A 16,137-nucleotide genomic window follows, 5' to 3' on the forward strand; every position below is an offset into this window, starting at 1 on the left:
TGCAGCAGAGGCTGAAACTAAGGGCCAAGCGGGGTTTTGGCGCAGGCGCGTGCGGTCGAAGCGCACACCTGGATTTGTTTCCCCCCAACCCTTCATCCCTGTAGCCCATGTGGCTGAGTTCTTTTAGGGAAGGCACTGTGTGAGCGGCCTGGAGCAGAGCTGCAGGCATAGGTTCGAGAGCATTGTTTCCTTGGGTTGAGGAAGAGATCGCCCCCTTCAGAGGAAGGGCCTTAAGAAGAGTCACGGAAGGAGGGGCCACGCAGTATCCTCCTATCCCCTCGCGGGGGCGGTTTCCTGAGCCGCGTGGCTCCCGGGCCTTCCCTCTCGGACTCGGGAATGCTCCTCCCACGCCCCGCTGGCCCGGCTTCTCTGCCGGCAGGATGGTTACATCAGCAGCCTGGAGGTGCTGAAGTTTAGCTCTTCGGGGTTTTTTGTTTTTTTTTTTTAAACGGAGTCCAGCTCTGTCGCCCAGGCTGGAGTGCAGTGGTGCGATCTTGGCTCACTGCAACCTCCGCCTCCCGGGCTCAAGAGCTTCCCCTTGCAGTGGCTCACGCCTGTAATGCCAGCACTTTGAGAGGCTCAGGCGGGCGGATCACGAGGTCAGGTCAGGAGTTCGAGACCAGCCTGATCAACATGGTGAAACCCCGTCTCTACTAAAAATACAGAAATTAGCCGGGCATGGTGGCGCACGCCTGTAATCCCAACTACTCGGGAGGCGGAGGCAGGAGAATCGCTTGAACCCGGGAGGTGGAGGTTGCAGTGAGCCAAGATCATGCCACTGCACTCCAGCCTGGGCGACAGAGCGAAACTGCGTCTCAAAAAAAAAAAAAAAAAAAAAAGAGTTTCTCCTGTCTCAGCCTCCCGAGTAGCTGGGATTACAGGCACGTGCCACCACGCCCAGCTAACTTTTGTATTTTTAGTAGAGACGGGGTTTCACCATGTTGGCCAGGCTGGTCTCGAACTCCTGACCTCAAGTGATACGCCCGCCTCGCCCTCCCAAAGTGCTGGCATTACAGGCGTGAGCCACCTCGCCCAGCTCTTTGGTGCTTTTTAAGAAAATGAATCCCCGTTTCCTCCTCCCTAGACACTCTTCCCACAGTATTGCTCAGGTGATCTCACGCAGTGGCTATCTTTTCTAGAGGTTATTATTTCTGTTTTTGTTGAGACAAGAGTCTCACTCTGTCGCCTAGGCTGGAGTGCAGTGACATGATCACAGCTCACTGCTGCCTTGACCTCCTAGGCTCAAGTGATCATCCCGCCTCAGCCTCCCCAGTGCATCACCACGCCCGGCGCGCATCACCACACGTGGCTAATTTTGTTTATCTTTTGTAGAGACTGGGTTCTTACCCTGTTGCCCAGGCTGGTCTCAAACTCCTGGGCTCAAGCGATCCTTCCACCTGGGCCTCTCAAAGTGCTGGGATCACAGGCGTGAGCCACCGCGCCTGGCCTCTAGGGGGTATTTTTAAATGGCTTGTTAAAAATTATGCTTCTTAACTTTCCTCTGTCTTAGGCTGTGACTAGCCCGTCTATCCCTTTAGTACTAAGTCCTGCCAGGTTAATCTTAGCCAGCAGCTTGGTCCTATACCTACAGATACAATGTAACAATGTAATTTTAAAATTTCTAAATGACCCCTTTAAAGCAAGAAGAAACATAGTTTTAATAAATACACTTAGTTCAATATGTCCAAAATAGTATTTCAACATGTAAGCCATATAAAATTACTGATAATGTTTACAGTTCTTTTGCATTAAGCCTTTGAAACCAGGGTGTGTTTTACACTTCCAGAAGTTCTTTTCACACTAACTGCATTTCAAGTACTACTCAGTAAGTACTCTAAATTTCTTGATTTTAAAATTATAACGGGACACTTTCTATATTGGATTAATTTATTATACCTAATTGCCTTAAACTCGTTTCTTAAGAGTCAACTTTAATTGAACATATACTTTTCTAAATTGTCTAGGCTGTTACCAAGACGGAGAAGGCTAAACTGTGACTTGCATTTGCTATTTTGTGCCCATAGGACATTTGCACAGTCCTACCTCACCCCTCTGATCAAAGACCTAGAGACTTTTAGCTAACACTAAACCTTTCCTGTTACTACTCCTAGATTTCCCCAGCCCTCCTAGAACCCTGTGTCTTGCTTCTCTAACAACACAATTGTAGCAGTAAGCTCTGGAGGAGGTGGGTTTATAGAAGAAATCTTGCCCTTACCCATAGTGAAAAGTGATCTTTTCCTTCCCTACCTTCCCAATTACGCACAATTTTCACTGATTTACTACATTGACACCCTTTTCGAGATATGCCTTAAGGACACATTTCATGATATTTTGATAAAAGGTACTAAATCTTTTTTAATGTATCAATGAATAGCTTATACAATTAGACATTTACTTATAGAATATGCAAAATGTTTGCTGTCTGATATTTAAGTTTAAACAATATTATTTGAAGGGAAGAACTTCTAAAAATCAAATCCAATCAAGGGAGAAAGCCAAATAAAATATACAGCAGTCACCCCAGGATATGTTGGTCATTGGAAGGAAATACAAATGAAACTTGAAAGTCCTTCTCTCCACCTCTTTTCATGAATTATCATATAATGCTCACTCCTTAGTCTTCCCAGTTCTCTTCCCAAGAACCCAAAGCAAAAGCTGTAGCAGGAGTGATAGTTCACCGCACATTTTTCTTTTGAGAGGGGGAGATGTAAGAAATAGATTCATGTACATAAGTTTCACAAAGATCCACTTGGCTAGGATTTTTTAAGATGCTAAATGCTTGGCCGGGCTCACGCCTGTAATCCCAGCACTTTGGGAGGCCGAGGCGGGTGGATCATCCGAGGTCAGGAATTTGAGACCAGTCTGGCCAACATGGCAAAACCCTGTCTCTACTAAAAATACAAAGACTAGCCAGGCACGGTGGCACGCACCTGTAGTCCCAGCTACTCGGGAGGCTGAGGCAGGAGAATCGCTTGAACCTGGGAAGTGGAGGTTGCAGTGAGCTGAGATCGCGCCACTGCACTCCAGCCTGGGTGACAGATCGAGACTCTGTCTTAAAATAAAATAAAATAAAATAAAAATGCCAAATGCTTTAATGTAGATGTTTATAATATAAAATTGCTTTCTACTTCATTCTCACATAATAAATGAGGTTTCATGAGTTCCTGTACACAAATATATACATTCATGCATTAATTTATATTTGGTCAATGTTGCGATTTATGAATAAGGCAGGAGATATTAAAGCTCACAGACCTTCCCATTTGGGTCTAAATTTATCGTCTTGTATTAAATCTTGTTTATGAAGCAACTTTGAGATTTGCTTTTTCTCTAAATATAATGACTGGGATTCTTTCATTTTAATATATCAAACTTCCCAGTCCCTTCTATCTCCCTCAGTCACACCACGCACTAATTTGCACCTGAAGAGGGTTTCCCTTTTATTCCTATGGTGTTGTTTATGACAGAGTTTGACACATGGAGGGTGGTGAGGAAGAAGAGTTGCTTTAAGGATCATAGGACAAAAAACCTACAGCATTGGCCCTGCCCTTTATCAAATCGCAGGCTGGCTGCTGAACTAAAAATCTATCCAATTGTAATATTAAGGTTGGAATAATTGCAGAGTAAACAAAGCTTAACAAGATGTTTGTCCTAGTAAGAAAATTGAGATAATTAGACAATAATTTTGACGCAATGCTGTAAAGACTGCCAGAAAAAAAACATGGTGAAAGATTCTGCTGAGACCCTCAGACAGAAGCCAGAACTAAGCACATACTTCCTTTATAAAGCAGGACGAGTTTTTTAGGGTAGGATGTTCCTCAGAAGTAGTAATACCCAGCTCCACGATATTTCTTCCTACCCAGGACCATGAACATGTCATTCTCTTGCCTTGAATGGCTCACTGCCTTGCAAGAAAATCTTCTACATGGAATTCCAGGCCTTCCACATTTTGGTATCATTCTTTCAGGTGCTCAAAACTGTCACATAAGCATGCTCAGATCTCTCCCATATTAACAGAAACTCCTCCTTGACAGCACATCCCCCTCTTGTCACCACCCTCTTTACTTTCAATCAGCTTCTCCAATCAGCTGTCTGCACTCACTGCCCATTTCTTTACCAAGCACTGCAATGCAGCCATGGCTCTTGCTGCTTCACTGAAATTATTCTCACCTTGTCAGTAAATCCATTGAGCGCTTTTTATCCTTATCCAGCTTAACCTTTCCATGGCAGGATTTGACACTATTGACTGCTCTTTAAAGCAACCTCTTCCTTTCCCTTCCTTGAGCTCTGCTTTTCTTACTTCCATGGTCATGCCCTGGTCTCCATAGAAGGCTCTGTGTTCCTATCACTCACATATGGCATCCATCAAAGATCAGTCTCAGTCAGGCCTGCTTTTGCTTACTGTATACTCTCCACCTAAACTTTTATCCATTTCCAAGGCTTCTATTACCTTGTTGACAGTTCCCAAGTACATATTGCCATTTCTTATCTCTCCATTGAGTTCCAGACCCACAAGTCCCACTGTTTTATGGATACCTGGAATTGGCAATTCAAATTCAACCTCAGTTTAAACTCAATTTCTCAAACAAATCTTCTCAGGTAAAATTGATTTTCAGCTTAATAGTGTGCTAGATAGCACCATTGTCTACTCCATTCTTTTGACAAAAGCCTGGTGGACATTCTTGACTTCTTCTTTAACTCCCATAGCCAGTCAAAGATCAGGTTCTAAGGGTCATACCAATTCTCAAATCCATCCATCTTTCTGCATCTCTACCACTGTGATAGAATAAGAAATTTATCTTTGATCTTTATCCATAATTTGTGGTACAGAGCTCCTAAAACTCTTGTAATTTCCTGAATAATTGGTGGTGATAGGAGATTGAGTTAATAAACATGCATGTATGATAAAACCTCCATTAAAAAAAAACCCTTGGAGAGCTTCTGGGTTAGTGAAGGCACACACATACCAGGAGGGTAGTGTGCTCCAACTCTACTAGGACAGAAGCTCCTGAGCACAGGATCCTTCCAGATCTCACCCTGTGTACCTCTTCACCTGGCTGTTCGTTCGGATCCTTTATACTCAACCAGTAATAGTAAGATGCTTTTCTGAGTTCTGTGAGCCACTCTAGCAAATATTTGTGTCCCTGGGAACCCCTGACTTTGTAGCCAAATTGGATAGAAGGTTGGGTACCCTGGATACTCAAAACTTGTGTTGGCATCTGCAGTGGGGCAGTCTTGTGGGGCTGAGCCCTTAACCTATGGGATCTATGTTAACTCCAAGTAGTTAGTGCCAGAACTGAATTGAATTTTGAGACACCCACTCGATGTCCAGAAAGTTGGAGCATTGTTTGATTTGGAGACAAAACCCCATACATTTGGTGTTAGAAGTGCTGAGACTAAAACTGTTCAGAACCATCATTACCACAGTCTAGATGATGAACAGGAGTCCCCAAGACAAATATTCTTACATCTAGTCTTGCACCACTCTAATTCATTGTCCATGCTGCAGCTGGAATAATTTTAATTCAGGATTACTTCTTCTACTTCTCTTAAAACCCTTTTTGTCGTCCTTAGGATAATATCCACATTTCCTAACATACAAGGTCTTCTGCATCTGGGCTATGTCTACCTCTTATCCTTGTTCATGCTAGGCTTCCTTTTACATTGTTGTTCTTACCATAAAGGCCTTCTGGCAAGTGTTCATATATTCTACATATTCTTCTTATGCCTCCAGGCCTGGAATAGGGCTCTTCTGCCTTCAGTCTTTTTTTTTTTTTTTTTTTTTTGGAGACGGAGTCTTGCTCTGTGGCCCAGGCTGTAGTGCAGTGGTGCAATCTCAGCTCACTGCAACCTCCACCTCCCAGGTTCAAGCAATTCTCCTGCCTCAGCCTCCTGAGTAGCTGGGATTACAGGCACCCACCACCACACCATGCTAATTTTTGTATTTTTTAGTAGAGAAGGGGTTTCACCATGTTGGCCAGGCTGGTCTTGAACTCCTGACCTCACGTGATCCACCCGCCTCGGCCTCCCAGAGTGCTGGGATTACAGGTGTGAGCCATGGCACCTGGCCTCTCCTTTCACTCTTAGCTAAGCTAACGTCAATACAAGTTGTCCTTCAGAGCTCAGCTTAAACATCACTTCCTCTAGGGTGTCTTCCCTAACCTATTAGGTAAGGTAGATGTCCTGCAATTGGCTCTTATGGTGTCCTCTATGTCCCTAGCAACACTTTGCATTCTTTGTTCTGGAATTGTCTCTCTTCTTCTCTTCTTTATAAAGCCAGCTTTACCATAGCACTTGGTACCTAGGAGGGGCCAGTATGTCCTTGCTGACTGACCAACTAAATGGATATTATTTCAAATAAACTCAGTTCAACAGCTAATCTGAACCTTTGGCCGTTTTTGAAATATGCATTGTACTATCCCATCTTTGTGCCTTTGCTAGTGTTGTTTTTCTGCTCAGATTGCCCTGACCTTCTATCCCACCTTCCCCATCTCCACACATTTTTAATCCTCAGCTTACATTTGACTTCTTCCAACCTACATTCCTAGTCAATAGAATCAGGGCTAGTCCTTCCCTTCCTCTCCCCAGGAAAATACATATGAAGGCAACATTTCTCGTATATTTCTGTATGCTTAAACGACCCCTTAAAGTCTACCCATGGATCTCTTGGGGTTCTGTAGGCCTATGAAACAGACTGGCTAGATGTTCACTAAATCTGTTTCCTCCTCTTCCTGAGCACACAGCTAGACTACATTTCCTGGCCTCCACTGTGGTTGGGAAGACTGAGTTTTAGCCAAGTGTACAGAATTTCCTTCAAGAGTCCCTCATATTATCATCCTTGTTCCTCCTCTATCTGTGGATGTAAATGAGTATGATGAACTTGGAAGCCACATGTTAAAGATGACAGAGCCGCAAGATAAAAGGAGCTTGAGTCACCACATGGAGCAGAGGTGCCCTCCAATCAGATGTACCTGTTTCATACTTTATATGAGTGGAAAAAAAAAAGATTTTTAAGGAGTTTGAAATATATTTTTGTATACATTGGTTATAGCAGTTAGCCTATCTTTTTTTTTTTTAATTTTATAAATTTTTGCTAAGGGAGGTGCAGGTCCACACCAAGGCCCAGCCATCCCAGTTAGCCTGTCTTAACTAACATAAAACACCAAGTTAAAAACCCCTGGTTTGTAAGAAGATAGTAAAAAGCTTAGTGGTTGCCAGGGGTTGGAGGAAGGGAGGAATAGATAGGTGGAGCTTAGAGAATTTTTAGGGCAGTGAAACTACCATTTTTAATACTATAATGGTAGATACACATCTTTATACATTTGTCAAAACCCATAAAGTGTACAGAACCAAGACTGAATCCTAATGTAGACTATGGACTTTGGGTGGTAATGATGAGTCAATGTAGGTTTGTAGGTTCAAGAATTCTAACAAATGTTCCACTGTGGTACTGGATGTTGATAATGGGGTGGCTGTGTGTCTGTGTGGAGAGGGGGTACATAGGAACTCTCTGTACTTTCTGCTTAATTTTGCTGTGAACTAAAACCGCTTTAGAAAATGAAATCTACTGAAAACAAAAACAAAAACAAAAAACACAACAAAACCCTGGTTTACACATTTATAATTAATTTTTTTTTTTTTGTAGAGATGGGGGTCTCACTATGTTGCCCAGACTAGTCTCAAACTCGTGGGCTCAAGTGATGCTCCCACCTTGGCCTCCCAAAGTGCTGGGATTAGAGACACGAGCCACCATACCTGGCCAACACATTTAAAATACATAGTTTAAGCTACTTATATGCTCTAATCACAAACTGCCCAAGACTATTTCACTTTATAGCACAGAGCCTGATAATACATATTTATTTACATGAGGATCAATCTACCCAGATAACACAGCAGCTCTAAATGTGCATGCTCCAACAATAAGGCTTCAAAATATATGGAAAAAAGGCCAGGTGCGGTGGCTCACGCCTGTAATCCCAGCACTTTGGTAGGCCAAGGTGGGTGGAGCACCTGAGTTTGGGAGTTCAAAAGCAGCCTGGCCAACATGGAGAAACCACGTCTCTACTAAAAATACAAAAATTAGCCAGGCTGGTGGTGCATGCCTGTAGTCCCAGCTACTCAGGAGGCTGAGGCAGGGGAAATCACTTGAACCCTGGAGGCAGAGGTTTCAGTGAGCCAAGAACGTGCCACTGTACTCCAGCCTGGGTGTGTCTAAAAAATTGAAAACAAAAACAAAAACATGGAAAACAAACAAAACCAAACAATGTGAAAACAATAAAGCTGAAAGGAGAACTACAAATCCACAATTATAGTTGGGGACCTCAACACTCCCTGTCAGTAATTAATAGAAGTATTAGTAAACAGAAAGCAAAAAAGTAGAACTACATAACACCATTAGCCAAGAGGATGTAATTGATGTTTATAGATGACTCCACTTAACAACAGCAGAATATAACTTTTTTCCAAGTGCCCATGCAACAGTTGTATACATAGGCCATATCCTGGATTATAAAGCAGACGTCAACAAATTCAAAATAATTGAAGCTATATGAAGTATGCACTATGACTATAAAAAAATTGAACTAGAAATCAATAACATGAAGAAAACAAGAAAACCTCAATACATGAAGATTACACAACACATAATCCATGAGTCAATGAAATCTTTCAGGGAAAATAAAAAAATACATTGATCTGAATGAAAATTAAAATATAATATATGAAAACGTGTGGGATGGCCAAGCACAGTAGCTCATGCCTGTAATCACAACACTTTGGGAGGCCAAGGCAGGTGGATCACCTGAGGTCATGAGTTTGAGACCAGCCTGGCCAACATGGTAAAACCCCATCTTTACTAAAAATGCAACAATTAGCTGGGTGTGGTGGCGTACACCTACTACTACTACTCAGCTACTCAGCTACTCAGGAGGCTGAGATGGGAGAATTGCTTGAACCCGGGAGGCGGAGGCTTCAGTGAGCCGAGATTGCGCCACTCTAGACTAGGTGACAGCGAGACCCCATCTCAAAAAAAAAAAAAAAAAAAAAGAAAGAGAAAAAACCCAGAAAACTTGTGGGACACAGCTAAAGCACACCTGAGAAATTTATGGCACTAAAATATATTAGAAAAAAAGGAAAGGGTTCAAATCAATAACCTAAATCCCCACCTGAAGAAACTAGAAAAAGAACAAAATAAACCCAAACAAGCAGAAAAAAAGAAACTAATAAAGTTAAGAGCAGAAATCAATAAAATTGAAAATATGGAAATAGTAGAGAAACTCCATGTAACATATGGATCCTTAAAAACATCAATAAAATTGCTAAACATTTAGCAAAACTGAGAAAAATAAGAAAGAAGACACAAATTATCAACATTGGCAATGAAATGGGATCCCACTATAGATCCTGAAGCCATTAAAAGCATAAAAGGAGACTACCACAAACAACTTTATGTTCATAAATTCAACAACTTGGAAGAAATGGACCAACGTTTTGAAAACTATATAGTACCAAAATTCAACCAAGATTAAACAACCTAAATATTCCTATAATGATAAGGAAATTAAACTCATAACTGAAAAGCTTCCAAAAAAGAAATCTAGAGTTCTACTAAAGATAAAGAAGACATTAAAAAGTGCCTGTACTCTCACCACTCTGCGATAGTTTCAGATAACATGATTCCTGATGATCTAATGGTCAGGAAAAAAAGAAAAATGAAAAAAAGGCTGGAAGGCTGGGTGCCAGTGGCTCATGCCTGTAATCCCAGCACTTTGGGAGGCCGAGGTGGGTGGATCACCTGAGGTCAGGAGTTTGAGACCAGCCTGACCAATATATTGAAACCCTGTCTCTACTAAAAATACAAAAATTAGCCGGACATGGTGGCGCACGCCTGCGGTCCCAGCTACTCAGGAGGCTGAGACAGGAGAATTGCTTGAACCCAGGAGGTGGAGTTTGCAGTGAGCCGAGATCACGCCACTGCACTCCAGCCTGGGCCACAGAGCAAGACTCTTGTCTCAAAAAAAAAAAAAAAAAAAGGGAAAAAGAAAGAAAGAAAGATAGGAAAAAAAAGGAGTTAATGTGAAATGATCGTTTTCTTAACTTCTAAGATTCATTGATGTAGAACTGAACTTCTCTACCACTGTATTCTAACACTGACAAAAATGTCAATTTGCCATTATAACCTAACCTATGGAATACATCTTCCAGAGACCGTGGGGGACATGCAGTAAAGGGGAGTTGGCTGCTTTTTAGCTTAAAAATCACTTATCCTGTTAGTGCCTCATTTTCTTCACAGATAAAACATGAATTCATTTATTTATCTAACAGATAATTACATAGCCTCTACTATGTCCCAGGCACTGTTCTAAGTATCTGGAACACATTCGTGAACAACAACAAAAAAGATCCCTTCTTCTGCAGAACCTACACATTCTATAAGGGGGGTGGGGCACAAAAGTTAAACAACAATATATAACAAAATAAATTGTACAGCATGTTAGAAGGTGATAATGCTATATGAAAAACAAAGGCCCGGAGCAGTGGCTCATACCTGTAATACCAGTCATATAGGCTGAGGCAGGCAATCACTTGAGGTCAGGAGTTTGAGACCAGCCTGGCCAACATAGCGAAACCCTGTCTCTACTAAAAATACAAAAATTAGCTGGGTGTGGTGGCATGTGCCTGTGGTCCAGTTACTCAGGAGGCTGAGGCAGGAGAATCACTTAAACCTGGGAAGGAGAGGTTGCAGTGAGCTGAGATTGTGCCACTGCACTCCAACCTGACTGGGCAACAGAGCGAGACTCCATCTTAAAATAAATATATATACATATATATATACACACATATATATATATATATACACACACACATATATATATATATATACACACACACACACATCTGTATATATATAAACAAGAGTGCAATATGGTAAGGAGGATATCAACTACAGGGGTCTTGGGCAGGATCCTGACCCACGATGGTGGGTCAGGGTAGGCCTGATTGAGAGGGTCATGTCTGAGCAAAGATTTGCAGGTTAAGGAGTTAGCCAAGGGGGTATTTGGGGAAAAAGTGTTCCAGGAAGAGCCACACATCTAGAGTGAAGGCTAAATTAGGAGTGGAGCATGCAGAACTTTTAGGCCATTTAAAGGACTTCATTAGTTGTGCCTGGTGGTGCACACCTATAGTTGGAGGTATGGGAGAGGCTGAGGTGGAGGAATTGCTTGAGCCCAGCACTGCAGTGAGCTGAGGTGGTGCTACTGCACTCCAGCTACTGCACTCACAGAGTGAGACCCTGTCTCTGTTAGAAAAAAAGTAAAAAATTAAAGGATTTCAGCCTTACTCTGTGGGAAATGAGAAGGCATTGCTGAGTTTTAAGCAAGGAATTGGTACCAAAAAGGAAAAAAAAGTGATACTTATATATAAACATGTTGAGAATTGAGTGTAGATGACACAAAGAGGAGCAGAGTGACAAGAAACAGTGGGATTTGGGACACACTTTTGAAGACAGTGCCAGCAAACTCCAAGGTTTTTGGCCTGTGCAAGCAGAAGATGCTGTTGCTCTTAATGGGGAGGGCTGCAGGTAGAGTGAGTCTGGGGTAAATGTTTCTAGGGTTTCAAGGGTTTCATGACAGTCGGTGGCTTCTGTTGTAGCTTGAATCTAAAGGTCACTTCTCTGATTTGGTGTTTCTCACCATCTCTCCTGCCAATCCTCCTCTTTTTCTTTGCAACCCTCTAAGTCTTAGCTTTAGAGGTGGAAGGTCAACCTAATTCTCTAGGCAGGCAACGGCTGGTTCCCTTTACCTGGAGAGCCTAAATGTAAATCTCTCTGCTAAAACCTCTCCCTCAGGGCACTGGTTCTTAGGGGAGGTGGTGACTTATTTATTTTGGGTCAGGTGTAGGACTTGTTGAGTTTACAGTGGATAGAATGAATTTTAAAATATGTCAACGGTTCACTAGGACCCGAGTTGAAACTATTAACTTATTTTATTCAGGTCTTTGTGTAATTGTGATAGAGACATCGATCCCTCTGGTCAGGGTTGCATAAAGTCGTTGCACAGTAAAACTTCCCAAAGGCTACATTTTTATGTTTCATTTTCAGACTGTTGGTGTCACAGGAGCAATTAAAATTTGTGAATAATGTTTTTTCCCCCTAGATGAATAATGTGGATGGCCTGCAGTCTGCTCATATTCCTGCCAAGGGATTTAACAGGCTATTGTGTTAGTAACAATGTGGATGCAAATTGTAAACATTTATCATCTCCTAAGTTTCATGCAATTTTCAAAGCCTTGCTAGTTAAAACAGGTACTCTAACCTCCAATATAAAACAATCTTTAGATCATTTTCCATATTCCCCAAACATATTTTGTTTTCCTGTAACTTCTATTTATTATATAAAGTAACATTGTAAAATCTGGTAGAAAGTAAATAGTAATGTTTAATAAGTTTAAGGTCCTCTAAAATTGATTTCGCGTCTCTTTAGATGCTATGAACTACTATTAAGGTACATCAATAAAACATTCCATATAGTGGTATTTGGTAGTAAATTCTCTATGCGTGTTTATTAGCGGTTTATTAGGAGGTAAACTAAATATTTGCTAGTGTAAATTTCCCAATAATTTATCTATACTCTCAGCATTTTACAACTGTTATGATCTTGACTCTTGAAAATTACCAATGTAATAGGAATGTCCAAATATTTGAGTCTTAAGATCAAATTAATATTTTGCCAAAGGGGAAAAGCTTTTCAAGAATTATTATGACTTGGCATGGTATGGTGGCTCACACCTGTAATCCCAGCACGATGGGAGGCCAAGGTGGGCAGATCGCCTGAGCCCAGGAGTTTGAGACCAGCCTAGGCAATATGGTGAAACCCCACCTCTTCCAAAAATAAAAAAAAATTAGCTGGGCATGGTGGTGTGTGCCTGTAGTCCCAGCTACTTGGGGGGCTGAGGCAGGAGGATTGCTGAAGCCCAAGAGGTTGAGGCTGCGGTGAACTGTGTTCACATCATTGCACTCCAGCCTGGGTGACAGAGTGAGACCCTGTTGGTAATACAGCCCCTTGGAGGAGAAAGACACGGATCAACAAATATTGACTAACTTCTTACAAGTTATTGTACCAAACATATGGGGAATACAAGGAAATATAAGTCATGCACTAGACCACAAAAGACTCATAATCTAGGTGGCAGAATGGTTGAAAGTTAGAATGCACGAGGGCATGGAAGGCAAGGATCTAATAATTCAGTGGATGCCAGAGAAACATATTGTAGGCATTTTGAGAAGATATAATTAAAAAAAAAAGATAGTAAAGTCTTGACGGAAGTAGTGAAATTAAGCAGACATTTAGGGGAGGTGGACTCTAAATGGGTAAAAAAGAGGGGGAAAGGCAGTTTCTTGGTGAGAATTACCACAAGTAAAGACACAGAGGCAAAAGAGAAGCCCACAGACTTGGGAGCCTCAGGGGTGGGATTGGGAGGTGAGTAGACACATCTGATTACAATGAGGGATTGATATATGGCAACAAGAGGAAGCAAAACCTGGAAATTTGAAAAGGCTAAGGGGTTTAGACTCTGCTTGGAGGCCCATCTACTGTGGATGGGTTGGTTTCTTGTGTAAAGATTCAGGCAGAGTAGCGGTTAAGTCCCAGCCTCGCTACATATGAACAATGCATTACTTAATGATTTAACTTCTTTGAACTTCAGTTTCCCTTCCGTACAAGGGAGATTATATCTGCGAGCAGAGTTGTGAAAGCTGTGTGAAATAACAGTTCATTGTGATCTAGCCAAGTGAGTGGTCATGACATTAGTGGTCACTTCCTCTCTGTGGTAAGTGGGTGGGGCAGGGAGGCCACACTAAGGGCTTGTGAAGAGGAAAATGACATCATTGAAGGGATAGATGTGAGGTTTGGGGACTGTTAATTTTGTGATGGTGTGCAGAATGAACTGAAGAAAGGGAGTGTGTGTGTGTTGGAGGTGAAGGGAACATTAGACCACCCAGGAAGAACCGGGGCTGGAACTGGCTGTACTGGCTATGACCAAGCCAGCAGAAATGATGAAGCCAGCTGGGCATGGTGGTGCACACCTGTAATCCTAGGTACTCAAGAGGCTGAGGCTGAAGGATTGCTTGAGCCCAGGAGTTTGATCCTAAAATGAACTATGATGGTGCCACTGCACTCCAGCCTTGGGTGACAGAGACCCTGCCTCTTAAAAAACAAACAAACAAACAAACAAACAAACAAACAAAGCGAAAACAAAGTGAACCTTAGAGGACAGGACACAAAGGGATTTGGAGAAGATAAGCTAGATGTAAAAAATAGAATCCAGGCCCTGTGCGGTGGCTCATGTCTGTAATCCCAGCACTTTGGGAGGCTGAGGCGGGTGGATCACCTGAAGTCAGGAGTTCGAGACTAGGCTGGCCAACATGGTGAAACCCTGTCTCTACTAAAAATAAAATTAAAAAAAAAAATTAGCTGGGGCGTGGTGGCAGACGCCTGTAATCCCAGCTACTTGGGAAGCTGAGGCAGGAGAATTGCTTGAACCCAGGAGGCGGAGGTTGCACTGAGCTGAGATCGTGCCATTGCACTCCAGCCTGGGTGATGGAGTGAGACTCTGTCTCAATAATAATAATAATAAAAAAATCCAGAAGAAAAATGTATTAATTTTGGGTTAAAGAAAGAAGTATCACACTAGTAGAAGGAAATACTAATGAAGACCTATGTTAGTATTTGTGTTTGTTTCTGTTTTGTTTTGCTTTGTCTGACCAGTTTATCCAGCTCTTTCCTTTGTTTAGGGGCTCTCGTCTCACTTTAACAACATGTCTTAATCTGGCAAATCAGAGCACTTGCTTTTCTTGGCACCAGTGATTGGTGTGGAGGTGAGCATGTTATAAAGCTGGGCCGGTCAGCCTGCTCTGAGTTTTTCTACCTGACATTAAATCTTTTTGGCCTCCCTGGATATAGAAGCTAGAAGGTTGTCAATCTGGAGAAAGCTGCTGGCAGAAGCATATGAAGCCAAATGGAGACCACAAGAGATTAAAGGAGAAACAGAAAGATTTAGAAGCTTGGTAAAAGTTGATGATAATTTTATTACCTAAGGCCCACAGAGTTGCCCTGATTACTGCAAAATCAAGTTGAACAAATTGGGAAACATTTGCAACAAATACAATATGATAAAAAGGATAACTATTCTTATTACATGGACAGAGTTTCTAAATCAATAAGAAAACATTAAGATTCCAAGAGAAAAATAAGCAGAGGTCATGAACAGACCATTTGCCGAAGAAAAAATACAGAGTAAATAAGAGTCTGCCTCAATAACAAAGAAATATAAACCATGACAGGAAAGTATGATACTTCACTAATCGAATTGTAAATGTAAAAAATCTGGTAATAATATTTGGGTACAATGTGTGTGTTCTTCCACACACTGAGTGGTTATTCCACTTTTCTTGAGGGGTTTTCTTGTGGTATTAAGAGCCTTAAAAATGTCCATAACCTTTGATTGAAACATTCTATTTCTAGGATTATCCTAAGAATATAAACAAAGATGTGCACAAAGATTTGCATACAAGGATATTTATTGCAATGACATTTATGTTAGCAAAATTATAAATGTGTAATTGGGTGATGGCTGAATAGATAATGAGAAATGAACAGTCATATGATGAAAAATTATAAGCCAATAAACATCATGTTTAAAAAAAATCATGTTTTTGTACTGTATTTTTTTTTTTTGAAACTGAGTTTCACACTTGTTGCCCAGGCTGGAGTGTAGTGGTGCAATCTCAGTTCACTGCAACCTCCGCCTCCCGGGTTCAAGTGATTCTCCTGCCTCAGCCTCCCGAATAGCTGGGATTACAGGCATGAGCCACCATACCTGGCTAATTTTGTGTTTTTAGTAGAGATAGGGTTTCTCCATGCTGGTCAGGCTGGTCTTGAACTCCCGACGTCAGGTGATCCACCAGCCTCGGCCTCCCAAAGTGTTGGGATTACAGGTGTGAGCCACCGCACCCGGCCTTGTACTGTATTTTTACAATGATTGTCACATGACTCTTCCACTCCCTTTTTGTACTCCATATCTATCTTCCAGAAACATCACCTGCCTTTTCTCCTGTGGTCTCTTAATCCTATAATTGTA

At 41.8% G+C, this 16,137-nt stretch overlaps 2 annotated features.

Annotated features, from left to right (window-relative positions):
- Positions 113-202: an enhancer, noted in NCBI's record as "active region_13330". NCBI's record gives its function as "activates an Ori minimal core promoter by ATAC-STARR-seq in GM12878 lymphoblastoid cells {active_cell/tissue: GM12878}" and the evidence as "EXISTENCE:reporter gene assay evidence [ECO:0000049][PMID:35858748]".
- Positions 13,807-13,906: a silencer, noted in NCBI's record as "silent region_9468". NCBI's record gives its function as "represses an Ori minimal core promoter by ATAC-STARR-seq in GM12878 lymphoblastoid cells {active_cell/tissue: GM12878}" and the evidence as "EXISTENCE:reporter gene assay evidence [ECO:0000049][PMID:35858748]".

The sequence above is a fragment of the Homo sapiens genome, chromosome 18 (genome assembly GCF_000001405.40).
Source record: "Homo sapiens chromosome 18, GRCh38.p14 Primary Assembly".
Classification (NCBI taxonomy): domain Eukaryota; kingdom Metazoa; phylum Chordata; class Mammalia; order Primates; family Hominidae; genus Homo; species Homo sapiens.